Source organism: Homo sapiens, chromosome 4 (assembly GCF_000001405.40).
Source record: "Homo sapiens chromosome 4, GRCh38.p14 Primary Assembly".
Lineage (NCBI taxonomy): Eukaryota > Metazoa > Chordata > Mammalia > Primates > Hominidae > Homo > Homo sapiens.
Window position 1 is genome coordinate 133,717,286 of NC_000004.12, and position 18,542 is coordinate 133,735,827.

Below are 18,542 nucleotides of genomic sequence, written 5' to 3' on the forward strand. Positions count from 1 at the left end.
CAGATGGACACTGGGCATAAAAAGCCTGGATCTCCATAGGGAGGGAGAGCGGGAATGGAAAGGAAGAAAGTAGTTCTTGACTAACAAAGAAAATACATGGCAGAAAACCCAAGAAAGCACAACCTTTGATAAAGATTGGATTCCTATACTTTATGCAAGGACAAAAACGGAACATGAATATTTCCTATGAAGAACAAAGAAGGCTTTAATATTGGAAATGACAGCCCAGAGAAGACAAATGGAGAAATATATAAGAGCATGAAAATACTATGCAAAAATAAAAAAGAGAAATATAAACTGGCTAAAATAGAAACTATTCACTTGGCTGTAGTGGCGTTGTAATGAGGAAAAATTGAACATTTATATAACAAGAATCTCAAATAATTTGTTTCATATAAATTTGCTTCACTTGACTGATAGTAAATTGGAAATCATTCTCACGTTTTGGTGAGTGTTCAGTAATGTGCTGCAAATCCTGTCGACACCTGACAACTGTAGGGACAAGCCTTCCTTGGCCATGGCAGATAGATGGATCTCCAGACCAGCTGTAACCTCTTTTACTTTGCTACAACTTCATATAAGATTCTGATGCCCAGAAAAAGCAAACTTGATAAAAAGCACTGCTGTCTGTTAAATATTTACTTTTATATAAAGATTTACAAGGAATTAGGCCAAATAAAAACACATTACAAAAATAATTTACACCAATGACACATCTGCCTCAATGATTGATACACTTAAGGGCAGTTTGTTTGAAAGAACCTTTACGATATACGACTTAAAGAATATATTTCATTTAAGTTCGTTTCAGTCTACATTTTTTACTGGTTTAAATGCAGCATGCCAAAAACACAAAATAAGTATATCAACGACAGGAGAAGTACCTTTAATATTTGTTAAAAATCCCTTTTTCTTTCTAACTCAAAACCCCGAGATTTAGTGAAAATCCTTAGGATTTTTTTGTCTTGTCTATTCATAATAATCTCCTTGTATATATAGCCTGACTCTCCAATAATCTTCACTGTTGTTATTTCTCTAAAATAAAAACTGGATCCTGTTTTTACTCTCTATCTCATGATTCCCTATGGAGTGAAGTTGTACAAGTGTCTTCATGAGTTTTCTCAACTATTTTACAGTCTTTTCTGTCAGAATGGCCACATCCCACCCTTTGGCCACCCATAACAATTTAATACTTTCTAAATATGCCATATTCAATCATGTCTATACAACTTTGCATGTTTTTAAATGTTCTCATTTTTCTGAAATGCGTTTTTGTAATTTTTCCCCCAAGAAACTGTTTTCTGTCCTTCAAGCCAATTGCTATGTGAAATTGTTACTTACTATTGTAATTATTGGTAACATATGTCTTCAGTCATTACATTATTCAAGGCAAGAAATGGGTTTAGTTCATTTTTATATTCCTATACATATTAAAACAGTCAATAATGTCTGGTTGACTCTAACTTATGGACTAACTAAATTTTCATTGCCTGCTTTTCTAGAAGTTTTTAACATTTTGATTGTGTTTAGAAATGCAAGGCATATGTATGATGGTAATCAATGTATTATCCCAAACACTCAAGCAAACCAATAAACAAAAAACACAAGCCTCTGAATGTCTATACACTAAGGGCAAAATTACTTTTGTTGGCTTGGTGTTATTTATGAGTTCCTTTTTAAACTCCCTTACTTTGAAAATATATGCAGCTTCAAACATTTATTTCAAAGTCTTCTGGAAATAATGAATTGCTTTGCATTGGAAACCACATTAATTTGTTTATTTCATCAGCAGTGAGGCAGCTGTTTTAGGTTGATGCTGTCAGTATTGACTATATCAAATTTGAGTTGATTTTTAAATTGATCACTTACCCAGTTACAAGCTAGCCTCAGGTCTTAAATTCTTACTCAGATTTATTAAAGTTACTTAGTGCTTAAAAAAAGGCATATTGCTCCCCATACTCTGTCAAATCCTTGTAACACTTTTTCTTTGGCATACTGATCAATTTGTTAATTCAGCACATTTTCTATGGGTAATTACAACACCACTCTTTTAACAATAGGAGAATCATAAGGATGAGGAATATTCATCTAGAGCATACTGTTTAAAAATAATCAGCCCCAAAGGAAAGTTATGCTTCTCCTCTATAAGCATATTTTTAAGACTGACATGTATAAATTTCTATGTTACAAGGTAGATGCATAAGCTTATCTTTTTCATGTGATGTCCATATTTGAACTTGGAATTTTTTATAAATTGATGTGTTTATATTTGATGTAAACTAACATTTTGGCTTATTTTACTTTTGGCTACCTTTTCCCTTGCCATTTTTCCACATTATACAATACAGAAAATTAATAAAAAACCTCTAGAATTTTAAAATTTTATATATAAAATAGCATATATATTATTCGAATTTAAATATAATATTTTTAAATTACATATGCAAATAATCTTTCACAGAGAAAAATGTCTTCAGCCTTTGCATTTATATGTTTAATTGTAACGTAACTTGTAAATGTGAAAATGTCCTTTTTTATAAATAGCCTGGTAATTTTTTTTTCTAATTTGATATATTTCTTTTTAACCTAAAAATCATCCCTTCAACTCCAAAAATTATCACCACATACTTACATGTAATTTTATAATATATGTATATATCATACCAAATGACATCTATCTCTTACCCATTTGCCTGGATGATCATGACTTTCCCTAAGACAGGAAATAGAAAAGAAGGAATGGGGTAGGACTAGATATAAAAAAAAGTATCAACTATTTCTGTTTTACAAATGTAGATCTTCACCTGCCTGTGACACAAATAAATGGATAGTTCTGAGAAAATTTATACATGTGTAAGTATCTCCATAGCTCAGAACTTTTCATAGGGTTGTTTTTTGTTTTTTAGGTTTTTTTTTTTTTGAAATAGATCGGAGCATGTGTAAAAGCCTGTGAGAATGAGTCATTAGAAAGCATGAGACTAAGACACAGAGAAGAGAGGAACCATTGTCAAAGTGAGGTTCTTGAGAAGAAAGCAAAGATGAAAATTACAACCTAGGGATAAAAAATTCGTCTGACAAGAAAGAGAATGATATTATATATTGTAATACATAAAAATAACAAATGTGCATGTGCAAGTAAATATCTTGCTCAGAGGTAGAATTTGAGGGGATTACTATGTTATTGCTCATAATTTCTTTTGGAGTAGAAAATGAGTTATTTTCTCAAAGGGGAGCTTTAAGTGAATATGGGAGATGTTTTGAAATAATCATAGTAAAGAAAAGAAAAGGAAAGGAAGGAAGCAAGGAAAGAGAGAAGGGAGGGAGGAAGGAAGGAAGTGGGGAGAGAAGAAGGGAAGGAAAAGGAAAGTAACAAAAGGAAGGAAGGGAAAATAAGAGCAGCATATATGGATCTGGAACATCACTCAGGGTCTGATGAATTTAGTGGTCATGAATTTAAAAAGGAACCAATCTGCATAATCAAATATCCTCTAACAAGGTAGACTTGCATTCTATAAGTATTTTTATTTAAGATCGTGTTTTTTTGTTTGTTTGTTTTTTGTTTTGTGGGTGTGTAAGATAGGATCTCACTCTTGTCTTCCAGCCTGAAGTGTGGTAGCTCCCTGTAACCTTGAATTCCTGGATTCAAGACCCCCAGCCTCAGCCTCCCTAGTAACTGAGACTACAGGTGCACACCACCAAGTCCAGCTAATGTTCTTTTTTTTTTCTTTTTCTTTTGTAGAGATGTAGTCTTGGAGTCTTACTACATTACCCAGGCTTGTCTTGAATTACTGGCCTCAAGTGATCCTCCCACTTTGGCCTTCTAAAGCAATGGGATTACAGGTATGAGCCACTGCCCTTGACCTAGATAGGTATGTTGTATGGACAATGTGATAAGGTAATTGAGTTCATCACATTTAAAATGATAGTCTATGACCTAGATATTGATTATTAAAAATATAGAGAGAACAGAGAGACTTAGAAAATAAAGTAGATATGCCAAAGTATTTAAAGAGAGGTTAATTATTTTTTTGGTATGAGGATATGTATAGACACTTGAATCCAGAATGCTACAGTAAGTATATCTCCTGATTTATATGGTTCAACTATGTAAAACTAATATGCCAAGTTTGAAATACCTGAAGCAAATTTGCCTACTCCTCTTGGAGTAAGAGTAATTTATATTTGTCTACCTTTGTGGATGCATGGAAGTAAGAGCAAATAACAGTCACATATAGCTTGTGCTATTGAAAATGGAAAGTAAATGTAGAAGCACATAGCTTCAGAATTCATGGCTGCATGTATTTTCCTATTGAATGTTTTATGTTTAATTCTTACTTCATTTAATGACTTTAGTTACAGCTTTTAGGCATCAACCACGCATCGTAATTTATTTTGTTAATAAGATATACAGTGGCATTAAACTTGATTAGAACTTTCCATCTTGAGGAAGACATGGTAATAGTGTTATTGCATACAGCCACTGTATGATAGCACTTGTTTCCTGTGTGTGTGTGCATGCGCACATGTGCATATATAAGTAATTTTCCCTTCATTGCTTTATTACAGGCTACTATCTTAATGCAAGGATTTAGGAAAGACATATTTTCAAAGTTGGTATTTGAAACTTCTATGAAACATAGTTGTCTAAAATAATGTTTACTTTATCTATCTCTCTTGAAACTCATAAAAAAGACACAACAAATCTGAAAGAAAAACATCCCTAAAACATATAAACAGCTAAAGAGACTCTAAGCTATAGAGATATTTGCCTAATCCTGAGATAGTTACAATAAAATATAAAAAGATGGGTCAAAACAAAACAAAGTACACAAATATGAAAATAATGTAAAAACAACAAGATGCACATAATTTTAGAAATCATCATTATTCATAGAAAGTCCATCTTCAATTCCACTGATTAGAATGGTGTGTTTTATGATTCTGGTCAGATTATAAAATATAACATGATAGAGAAAAGAAGACAAAGCAAAAGCATACACCATTCTTAAACGTAGTTTCTGCCATCCTAGTATGCCTGCCAAAAATTTAAATTAAAAAAAAAAAAGAAGGCCACGCAGTGACTTCCAGGAAAAACAAAGCGATCTAGTGCTTTCCTGTGAGCAGCACCAACTTTTGAAATGTCCTCTTGCTAAGCTAAGGCGATAACACATGTAATCGGAAAGCATTTCAAACAGCAAACAGAAATCTTTTGTGGGCACTTCTCAGCTCTTTTCCTCTTAAACGCTCCTTAAAAAATCTTTTCAGGAAATTGTTGACTGTATTTACATAAAAGTAATATTCTCCAAGATATAATTATATATACTGTACAAAAGTTAAAGAACTTATATAACGGAAAGAGTTTTTAAAGAAACTAGTAATTCCAATACCTCAAAAAAATTATGAATAGCATGGTATTACTAAGCAAAACAGTATAGAAAATAGCAATGGCTCAATGATGAGGCTTGTTTTTAAAGAAAAAATATACAAGTTGACAGAGCTTAGTAAAGAAATAAAAGAGAATAATAAAAAGAGTATTAGTATACATGTTAACATAAGATTGAAAGCCAAAAGAAACCAACTTAATGTTTAAAATATCTATTGAAAACCATGCTAAATATTGGAGAGAGACCAGAAGATATGAATAAAAATAAAAATAAAACTGTAGAACTAGAATGCAAACAAAGGAGTTCCAGCATGCACAAAATTAATAGTTCCGAGAAAGAGAGAGAAAAAAATAAAATTGAAAAGAAAACAATCAGAGAAAGGAAGTTTTGTAAAAAAGATGCAAACATTACAATACAAAAAGCCTATCTTCAACCCACGTTTATATCATTGATAGAGGGAGGGAACAAAAGTGTTATTAGCTTGATCCCATATTTCTCCATAGGAACACTAAATATCAGAATTCAGAGAAGCAATATCTATAATGTTATGAAGGAAATAAATAATACTGTTTTATGAATTTTAGCTCAATCTAATTTTTGCTTCAATATAAAGAGAGTATGCAAGATTAAAGGGATTCAGTTTAGAAATATTAATCTAGGGTTTTTACATGTAGGCATAATTGAAATTTTCCTCAAATTTTCTTTGAGTGTAGGAAATATTTTTGATAATTAAAACTTATACTGTGTGAGAATGTAAGTAAAAAAAGCTTATACACAGCAGAGAAAACAATCATCAAAATGAAAAGGCAGCCTATCGACTGGAAGAAAACATTTGCAAACTGTATCTCTGATAAGGGGTTAATATCCAAAATATACACGTAACTCACAGAACTCCACAGCACAAAAATAATAACCCAAACTAAAAAATGGGCAAAGAAACTGAAAAGACATTTTTCCAAAGAAGACATACAAATCACCAACAGATATATGAAAATGTGCTCAATAGCACTAATCATCAGAGAAATGCAAATTAAAACCACAATGAGACATCACCTCACAACTATTAAAATGGCTACTATGAAAGAAACAAAAGATAGTAAGTGTTGGTGAGGGTGTGGAGGAAAGGGAACCCTTGCACATTGTTGAAATTCAGTCATTACAAAAAGCAGTATGGAGGTTCCTCAAGAAGTTATAAATGGAGCTGCCATATAACCCAACAATGTCTCTGCCGGGTACATAGCCAAAGGAAATGAAATCAGCACCTCATAGAGATATTTGCACTAGCATGTTCACTGCAATATTATTCACAATAGCCAGTGATAATAGCAAAATAATCAATACTTTATGGAAAACTAATTGGTCATCAATGGATGCATGGATAAAGAAATTGTGAATTTGATATACAAGGCAATATTAGCCTTATAAAAAAGAAATAATACCATTTACAAAACACGAAAGAACCTTTAGACATTATTCTAAGTGAAATAAGTCAGACAAAAAAAGAAAAATACTGCATGATCTCACTTGTATGTGACATCTAAAAAATTTTCAAATACATAGAAACAATAGAATGGTAGTTTCTAGGGGCAGGGAGAAGCAGGAAAGAGAGAAATGTAGGTAAAAGAGAACTAACTTGGAGTTATATAGGATGAGTAAGTCTAGAGAGTCAATGTACTGCAGGAGACTGTAGTTAATAGTCCTTAGTTGCTTATGAAAATATTGCCTAGTAAATTGATTTTAGGTGCTCTTACCACTGACAAACAAAAAAGCAGTAGCTACAAAAGACTATGGATATGTTAATTTGCTTTCCTGTAGTAATTATCTTACAATACCTATGTATACTGAACATCATGTGCTATACTTGAAATATATACAATACTTTTTTTAATGAAGGCACATGTATGAAAAAATAACAGATTGGATAGTTTTTTCCTCCATATTCAAAAATACACCCATAACCTAAACCACAGAATCTCACTTCTGAATATAAATCATAAAGAAACTCTTGTGTAAGGGAATGATTATCCATGTTTAAAAATATTTATTGTATAATTTCTAAAAGAGAAGAATATTAAAATACCCAGGGGTCAATAAGACAAAGCAAATAAAATTGATAATTTTTTAAAATAAAATGTTCTATATATTTTTAAATAATTAAATTTAAACTACCAGTATCAACATAGATACATTTCCAAAACATATAAAAGGAAAAAAATGTGGCAGTATATTAACATCAGTTGGAAATAAAAATATTATTTAACAATTAAAAAGTGAGAAAATTTAACAGTTTAGGACAGAGTAAATTGTATTGTTCATAATTATAATATTCTGTATAGTGCAGTAATTTTAAGTGTTATTAAAATTTTTATTATATTATGGAAATATATATATTACCATAAGCCCTCCTGTTTATATCAATATGTATTTGTCTATATTTATTATACGTAAGACACTAAATTGACCTAACATGTAACTACAGTTTTTTTAAATGATCTAGTAGTGCTAGAAAAATAATCAATACTTTACAGATTTTTAATTTTTTATGGTGTTGTGTTGCTTCAAAGTAAATCTGAATATATCTATAACAATTAAAATAACACATTAGGATAAAAGTGTAGGAATTAAGTGTACTATGACATACAGAAGAAAATATCAAAAGAATCTATACAAGTAATAACTGCAAATATTCATCAGGAAGGTTTTTAATTGCAGTTGATAATTAATATTAATATAGTAATGTTCAAGTAAAAATATTCATGTGTTTCTTGAGTTTCATTAATCATATGGTAAATCATAAGAATGATATAATTGCTTGTAAGTTAGAGATTACATCTGTATTTGCTTTTTCAACTTAATTTGATTTGTACTAAATATGTATTGTTGTTAGCTGATTGGAATTAATATTAGTCCATTAATACTCATAAATAAATACAACAAAATATTGAAATTTATACATTTTTAAGTGATTTTTAGAAGATAATTTTGGATGAAGAAGAAATATTTGTCAATTAGAATGTGATTTAATAACATTTAGGATGAACTTATACTAAACAACCCATATCTTATGTTACTATATTTTGTGACAAAATACAGCTATAATTATGAAAATTAAACTTGATTTTATTGTTAATAGAAGGGAATTCACTCTTAATTATAAAAGCTCAACAAAAGAAATGTTTTTCATTGACATGTCTACATAAATTACTACTTGTTTTAACTTTATATGTAATCTGATTTATTCAAGTCTATAAACCTGTCCTACAACACAAATGCACATGTTTATGCAAGCAAATATAAACTTAATTTAAAAACTGTTCATTGTAAATATGTTAATTTAATATTTTTATAATACATAAATATAAAGCTAAGCTATGAAAATACTAAGATATGGGCTGATATACAGTGAAAAAACAACCAGAAAAAGTGAATCCTAAAATTGAATAACTGAAATTTAAATGTAACTCAAAATCATATGTTGCCTGGTTTCTCAGATTTTTTTAAATCTCTCAAATTTTTATTTCTTTTGAAAACTTACTAAAATATCCATAAATAGAGCATCTTTCTATTTCTTCTCTAGTGTTCTCATGACTACTGAGATTTTTTTCTATGATATAATCAATGGAGTTTAGTATCTGTGTTCACAAAATGTACTTAGCATTATATTTTTGCTTTAATTAACATTGACTTGAAACAGAGTATCATTACTAGTGTGAAAATCTAGATGATAATTTATAACACAATAAATGTTTTATGCCCTATGGAATAAACAAAACTTCAACCTTTTAGAAGCTTTGAAATACCAAATAGCAAATAAGCTTTGAATATCAAATAAGTATCATTATTAGTGTGAAAATCTAGATGACAATTTATAACACAGTAAATGTTTTATACCCTACAGAATAAACAAAACTTCAACCTTTTAGAAGCTTTGAAATACCAAATAAGAGTAACAGAGATCATTGATAATTATTTTAGTACATAAAAATAGGCAATATTGACATATAAGCAATATACTTGAAGTGTACTATCATGGAATTATCAAGTCAGGGTTTTCAGACACATATATATCTTCTTTATTCTTTCATTTTCTCCGTACAGTCTAATCTATCAAACACAATCCTTAAGCCTTATATTCTACCTAAAGACTTTCCTGATAACTTTCAATTCATTATTTTTTCTCTTCTCTGTTCATGATTTTATTTTTCAAAATTTTGGGGTACATATTTATGTGGATGAGATAAACAGCATTTAATAAAGTTCCTCAGAAATAATAATAGTGAAGAGGAACAAGTTAGATTAGGATGCTTTCAGATACAAATAGCAATACTCTTTAGCAAATATTTTTAAAATAGGCAAATTTTACTAGTTCATACAAGAGAGAGTCCTAATGGAGGGTAGCTCCAGAGTTCTTTAATGCAAAGCTTTAGTCAAGGGTCCACCTGTGTTTGTTATGCTCTTCTGCCTGTTGGTTCATTAGACTGGCTCTACTCATGATTTCTAAACAAACTGCAAAAGTTTTCCATGTCTTTACTTAAATCCTTTTAAGTCTTTCTTTTCACATCAAGAGCTTTTCCTCTAGTACCCATCATCTATAGGGAAATTGTTTGTTTGGGGTAATCAGTATTCACCCCGGGAAATTTAACACCAATCAGAGTGACTCTGAGGTAAAGCTTAAAATAGCTCCTTGGAATATAAATAAATTTTACTGCTCACTTTTGTCTTTTACTTTGCTTTTCATTTCAAAGTTGAGAGTAATTTATGTCAAAGGAGGAAGTGGCTTTGACAAATAAACACCTAATTTAACTGCTGAAGTATATGGAGTTAACCTTGCTCAAGGAGACTAATTTGTTTGCAATCAGAGATTTAAGTCTCTCAGAGTCCTGATGTCTAAACATCAACATCAATAAATAAACTGTCAATTATTAATAGTATATTGGCTACTGCCAAGGTAAGTAGCTTAGAGATTTTAGCCTCTTATATCTTAAAACAAGCCTTGTTCCTTTCTAACATTATTCTTAAATCCACTGGACAGAGTACCCTTAAACCGTTCTAGGAAATACAAATGTCACCAAAGTTGCACTTTTTCTCCCTAAGATCTCTATTCACTGCTATTCATATCAAAACTCCTAGTTTTTGATGATCACTGATCTCAGTTGAAAGTTAAACTTAAAAATTCTCTAAAAGATGTCTCTGATTGGTCATTCATATTTTAATGCATATTAAATATAATGCCATCTAATTGGTGTCATTGGAGGAAGAGATATCTGTAGAAGGGATTCCCTTCAATGCTTACTAATAGCTGTTTTAAGAGCTAGAGCAAGATTGTTTGAGCTCTGCTGGAAATGTATGTTACATTAATCCTAGATTCTTCAGATTCTAGTTGACAAAGACAAAAAACTATTTTCAACAAAATTTAGATAAAATTTACTTTCACATTTGTTTTAAAAAGTTAAAAGTTATGTATATAACTACAAGGCTACAGTAACCAAAACAGCATGGTACTGGTACCAAAACAGAGAGATAGACCAATGGAACAGAACAGAGCCCTCAGAAATAATACCACACATCTACAACTATCTGATCTTTGACAAACCTGACAAAAACAAGAAATGGGGAAAGGATTCCCTATTTAACAAATGGTGCTGGGAAAACTGGCTAGCCATATGTAGAAAGCTGAAACTGGATCCCTTCCTTACACCTTATACAAAAATTAATTCAAGATGGATTAAAGACTTACATGTTAGACCTAAAACCATAAAAACCCTAGAAGAAAACCTAGGCAATACTATTCAGGACATAGGCATGAGCAAGGACTTCATGTCTAAAACACCAAGAGTAATGGCAACAAAAGCCAAAATTGACAAATGGGATCTAATTAAACTAAAGAGCTTCTGCACAGCAAAAGAAACTACCATCAGAGTGAACAGGCAACCTACAGAATGGGAGAAAATTTTTGCAATCTACTCATCTGACAAAGGGCTAATATCCAGAATCTACAATGAACTCAAACAAATTTACAAGAAAAAAACAACCCCATCAAAAAGTGGGCGAAGGACATGAACAGACACTTCTCAAAAGAAGACATTTATGCAGCTAAAAAACACATGAAAAAATGCTCACCATCACTGGCCATCAGAGAAATGCAAATCAAAACCACAATGAGATACCATCTCACACCAGTTAGAATAGCAATCATTAAAAAGTCAGGAAACAACAGATGCTGGAGAGGATGTGGAGAAATAGGAACATTTTTACACTGTTGGTGGGACTGTAAACTAGTTCAACCATTGTGGAAGACAGTGTGGCCATTCCTCAAGGATCTAGAACTAGAAATACCATTTGACCCAGCCATCCCATTAATGGGTATATACCCAAAGGACTATAAATCATGCTCCTATAAAGACACATGCACACATATGTTTATTGTGGCACTATTCACAATAGCAAAGACATGGAACCAACCCAAATGTCCAACAATGATAGACTGGATTAAGAAAATGTGGTACATATACACCATGAAATACTATGCAGCCATAAAAAATGATGAGTTTTGTCCTTTGTAGGGACATGGATGAAGCTGGAAACCATCATTCTCAGTAAACTATCACAAGGACAAAAAACAAACACTGCATGTTCTCACTCATAGGTGGGAATTGAACAATGAGAACACTTGGATGCAGGAAGGGGAACATCACACACCGGGGCCTGTTGTGGGGTTGGGGGAGTGGGGAGGGATAGCATTAGGATATATACTTAATGTAAATGACAAGTTAATGGGTGCAGCACACCAACATGGCACATGTATACAAATGTAACAAACCTGCAAGTTGTGCACACGTACCCCAGAACTTAAAGTATAATAAAAAATATATATTAAAACGTTATGTATATATGAAACTTTATATATAAACAGCATTTATATATAAAGCATATATATATATGCACTTAATATATAAAATCCAGGAATCATAATTTAATACAAATGGAAAGAACAGAGAATAAGACTAACAATTAGTAAAATTTGCTTTTTATTACTGACATTGCATGTGGAAATGATGGCATCCATATTCTGGATAGGTGGGGAAATATATGAAAAATATCAGGAAGAATATGATCACATTCAGAGGGTCCATTCTCTTGATTAGATGCCTGTTTTACTCCTTGACATGCTCACATTAGCAGGTTGTTATCACCCTTGTTCTTAATTTTGGCTCTCAGTCATTGATGCAGCATTTATATCACTTTAGATAGATTTTATAGCCCATTTCCTTTTTGGCTATGGCTTTTGCCAAGCCAGAGACATGTTAATAGAGGCGGAAAAACCTGTAATTAATCTTAATTGTAGACCTAATATTTAGATATTACCTGTTTTAACCTCAAGCTCTTAAGATTTACTTTCTTATTTACAGGCACAAGTTATAGTAAAATTCATTGTTAACAAGAGCCAGAAAAACACTTTCCCTCCCATCCTCCTCAGCAGTTACCTTAAATCCTTGATTACTTCACCAAGGAAGAAATACACAGAATTTTAAGTGACTTCCACAGCGACTGTTTTACCCCTGTTGTTACATTAAAAGTAATTCCTTACCCAATGGGACACATTAAAACAAAATATCATCCCCTGAAGAATGTTTAGAGTATTATTTTGCATTTAATTCCTTATGTGATCATTTAGAATCTCAGTGAAGATTTGTGAACTCTTTGAAGTCAGGCTTCACATAATTTTAAAATTGTGGTATTTGCTTTAGCATCCTCTCTAACATTAAATAAGCATACTTTAAATCTCATTACACTTTTCTTTCAATAATTGAAATGATAATAACAATGATTATTTTGTGATGGCAAGAGATCCATATACTCTGCCAATTGCCATTTAAATGAGATCTGGCATACCATTTGACCCAGCCATCCCATTAATGGGTATATACCCAAAGGACTATAAATCATGCTTCTATAAAGACACATGCACACATATGTTTATTGTGGCACTATTGACAATAGCAAAGACATGGAACCAACCCAAATGTCTAACAATTATAGACTGGATTAAGAAAATGTGGCACATATACACCACGGAATACACAATTTTCAATATATGTGTAATATAATATTCCTTACAATAGGAAGAAAAGCCTTTAAGTTCTTTATCCTATTATGATTGAATGTTTCCAGTGTTAACATTTAGCCTACATCTATCTATGGGTATTTTAAGGTAATTGATTAGAAGATGACAGATATCAATACATCCTTTATCAATAGTGTAACAATTTTTGTGAAAGTCAGTGCAAAAATATAGATTAAATGATCCAGTACTTTTGCAATTGAGACTGGATAAAATATTCTTGAATTATTTTTAGGAATTATTCATGCAAAGTATTTTCCTCAGCAGACATTTGGTTGATTGGCCAACACTAGCATTATGTTTAAAGACTTTCTAAATGAAATTAGACTGTCCATTCAGATACTGGCTTAACAGGGAACAGGTCTAGGCAATCGTTTGGCTTGGACCATGTACAAAACTAATTGGATCACTGTTCAATACCATGTCTCAGGAAATCGCTGGGTACATAAGGAGTGGATATTCACCACAGCAGAATTAAGAAAGGTACAAAAAAAAAAAAAAAAAACAATACCCCCTGATATTCGGTAGATGGGCCGGCACTTATATTTTAGCCATGCTATTTTTCTATTTCATATAAACTATCTCAAACAGCGTCAGCCTCAGGCAAATTTGCTCTGACACAAGGATAAAATGAGACAAATAGGGGCCATTGCATATTTTCATGTAACAATGAAAACAAGATTATCATAAACCCTCCAAAATTAAAAATACCACCCCCTCCTTGGCAAAATGAATGACTGCTATTTCTTTTTTTTCTTTTTTTGAGACAGAGTTTCACTCTTGTTGCCCAGGCTGGAATGCAATGGCGTGATCTCGGCTCACCGCAACCTACGCCTCTTGGGTTCAAGCAATTCTCCTGCCTCAGCCTCCCGAGTAGCCGGGATTACAGGCATGCACCCAGCTAATTTTTATGGTTTTAGTAGAGACAGGTTTTCTCCATGTTGATCAGGCTGGTCTCGAACTCCCGACCTCAGGTGATCTGCCCCCCTAGGCCTCCCAAAATGCTGGCATTACAGGTGTGAACAACTGTGCCCAGCCCCGACTGCTATTTCTTAACTAATTACAGCTTAATTCTTGTTCTCGTCTCCGATTTCTGTGGATAAGATTTATTGTGATGGCCTATCACAGAATTGTCCCCTCTTTCTGATAGCATCCAATCTAGAGTAAACCCTTGCTTTTCTAGACTCTCCCCAAATTTACACAACAGCCCCTAAATCCTATAATAGCTTCTTTCTAACGCTTTCTTACTTAGACACCCCTTGGTTCATCACAGTATGTGTTATCTGTCACATGATAAATCCAATTTATTTAACTACTGGCGTGTTTCTGGTGGTCAGATATTTCTCATGGGTGAGAATGACAGGCTCAATAATGTCCCCCACTGCCCTCCGCCACCATGCCCGTGTCGAATTTTAATCCTTGGAAATTGTGATTATGTTACCTTACACTTTAAAAGGGATTTAAAAGACATAACTAAGGTTATGGACTTTCATATAAGGAGAATATCCTGGATTATCTATGTGACCCCAGTCTAATCACATGAGCCTTTTAAAACTGAGCATTTTCTCTGGCTGGAGTCAAAAGAGGTGTAGCAAAAGAAGTCACAGTGGTTACAAATATGAAAGAGATGTAACCTGCTGGACATGGGCCACAGACGAAGCATGAGAATAAATGTGGCAGCTCGTAGGAGCAAAGGTTGGACTCTACCTAACCACTGGCATTAAAATGGGGTCCTATGAGCACAAGAAGAAGCTGAATTCAGCCAGCAACCTAAATGACCTTGGCTGTGAATCTAGAACCTCCTAAAAGGGACACAGCTTTGCTGACATTTTGATTGCAGCTGAATGATACTCTAAGCAGAGTACACAGTTGTGCCATGTTCTACATGGATGTTTTACATATACAATTATGAGATAATAAATGAGTGCTGCATCCAGCTGCTAAATTTGTGGTAATTTTTTTATCCAGCAAGAGAAAACTACAAATTCTATTTAAAGCCTGGGGAAAACCCTTTGCTCTGCACCCTTTTGGGAATAATGCTATTATCAGAAAAAAGGTGATTCTCAATCTCAACATCTATGTTTCCTTTATATAGATGTTCATTTTCTCTAGAATCTAAAATTCACTTTTATATATGTTTTAAGTTTACAGAATATTTTTACCTAGAGGATGGAAAATAAAGAAAGGCATATGAGACCTGTCTTAAAGGAGTATCTACGCAACAAGAAAGCATAGTAAAAGAACATGCAAAAAAAATTCAAGTATAGATTAATGTAAGATATGAATGCAAATGTAAATGTTGTTATACTAAAGCTGTTGGGCTCAACAGAGAAAATATCTCAGAATTGCTTTAATAAGTTGATGAGGGAATGAAAGAATTCTGAGAAAAGTGTCAGGCATTTGAACATGATGAGAACAAGGAAGTAGATACAAAATACTAAATCTTGGTGGCTAGAAAGTTATCAAGTCTTTAAAGGGAGAAATAATTTTGAAACATAACGCTTAAACAAGATGCATATAATTATGAGTATCAACAGAAATATGTATATGTTATACATTTCTGTACTTATATTTTTAATTAAAAATGTGCAAAAATCTATATAGTTTCATGACGGAATTATTTGGATTTTTGATAACTAGTTTATATTTTCTTGAAGTTACCAAAACAGAGAAATATGTTTTGTATACAAGAAATGTTTAAAACTCTAGAGACTTAAGCAAGCATTTGCAAAAGACAATAGTTGTACCTAGTCAGATATAGCTTCCTGTTTATTAGGGAATTTTACAACTACTTCAAAAATAATGTTTCTAATTTAATTTTGCAAGATTTAAATTTGATCATTTACTTAAGAAGGGATTGTGAATTTAGTTTGTTTTCAGGCATGCTAAATATAATATATAATATATAAAACAAACTTTAGTGTTTATTAATTATATTAGAATTTGCTTAATTTCTAATAAATGTAGAAAATACAGTCCCCACATTTAATATCTCCAAATATTTTGAAATATTGCTAAAGTGAGTTAATTCAGTTTATAATATTTTGAATTTTTAAAGGGTCTATTCAGCTACATATATAACAAACCACTGACTAGAGTGGCTTAATCAAAAGTGGATTTTTTTTTCTTTTTTTTGGGGGTTTTTTTTTTCTTTTTTTTTTTAATTATACTTTAAGTTTTAGGGTACATGTGCACATTGTGCAGGTTAGTTACATATGTATACATGTGACATGCTGGTGCGCTGCACCCACTAACTCGTCATCTAGCATTAGGTATATCTCCCAATGCTATCCCTCCCCCCTCCCCCCACCCCACCACAGTCCCCAGAGTGTGATATTCCCCTTCCTGTGTCCATGTGATCTCATTGTTCAATTCCCACCTATGAGTGAGAATATGCGGTGTTTCGTTTTTTGTTCTTGCGATAGTTTACTGAGAATGATGATTTCCAATTTCATCCATGTCCCTACAAAGGACATGAACTCATAATTTTTTATGGCTGCATAGTATTCCATGGTGTATATGTACCACATTTTCTTAATCCAGTCTATCATTGTTGGACATTTGGGTTGGTTCCAAGTCTTTGCTATTGTGAATAATGCCGCAATAAACATACGTGTGCATGTGTCTTTATAGCAGCATGATTTATAGTCCTTTGGGTATATACCCATTAATGGGATGGCTGGGTCAAATGGTATTTCTAGTTCTAGATCCCTGAGGAATCGCCACACTGACTTCCACAATGGTTGAACTAGTTTACAGTCCCACCAACAGTGTAAAAGTGTTCATATTTCTCCACATCCTCTCCAGCACCTGTTGTTTCCTGACTTTTTAATGATCGCCATTCTAACTGGTGTGAGATGGTATTTGATTTGCATTTCTCTGATGGGCAGTGATGATGAGCATTTTTTCATGTGTTTTTTGGCTGCATAAATGTCTTCTTTTGAGAAGTGTCTGTTCATGTCCTTCGCCCACTTTTTGATGGGGTTGTTTGTTTTTTTCTTGTAAATTTGTTTGAGTTCATTGTAGATTCTGGATATTAGCCCTTTGTCAGATGAGTAGATTGCAAAAATTTTCTCCCATTCTGTAGGTTGCCTGTTCACTCTGATGGTAGTTTCTTTTGCTGTGCAGAAGCTCTTTAGTTTAATTAGATCCCATTTGTCAATTTTGGCTTTTGTTGCCTTTGCTTTTGGTGTTTTAGACATGAAGTCCTTGGCCATGCCTATGTCCTGAATGGTAATGCCTAGATTTTCTTCTAGGGTTTTTATGGTTTTAAGTCTAACGTTTAAGTCTTTAATCCATCTTGAATTGATTTTTGTATAAGGTGTAAGGAAGGGATCCAGTTTCAGCTTTCTACATATGGCTAGCCAGTTTTCCCAGCACAATTTATTAAATAGGGAATCCTTTCCCCATTGCTTGTTTTTCTCAGGTTTGTCAAAGATCAGATAGGTGTAGATATGCGGCATTATTTTTGAGGGCTCTGTTCTGTTCCATTGATCTATATCTCTGTTTTGGTACCAGTACCATGCTGTTTTGGTTACTGTAGCCTCGTAGTATAGTTTGAAGTCAGGTAGCATGATACCTCCAGCTTTGTTCTTTTGGCTTAGGATTGACTTGGCGATGCGGGCTCTTTTTTTGGTTCCATATGAACTTTAAAGTAGTTTTTTCCAGTTCTGTGAAGAAAGGCATTCGTAGCTTGATGGGGATGGCATTGAATCTGTAAATTACCTTGGGCAGTATGGCCATTTTCACGATATTGATTCTTCCTACCCAGGAGCATGGAATGTTCTTCCATTTGTTTGTATCCTCTTTTATTTCCTTGAGCAGTGGTTTGTAGTTGTCCTTGAAGAGGTCCTTCACATCCCTTGTAAGTTGGATTCCTAGGTATTTTATTCTCTTTGAAGCAATTGTGAATGGGAGTTCACTCATGATTTGGCTCTCTGTTTGTCTGTTGTTGGTGTATAAGAATGCTTGTGATTTTGGTACATTGATTTTGTATCCTGAGACTTTGCTAAAGTTGCTTATCAGCTTAAGGAGAT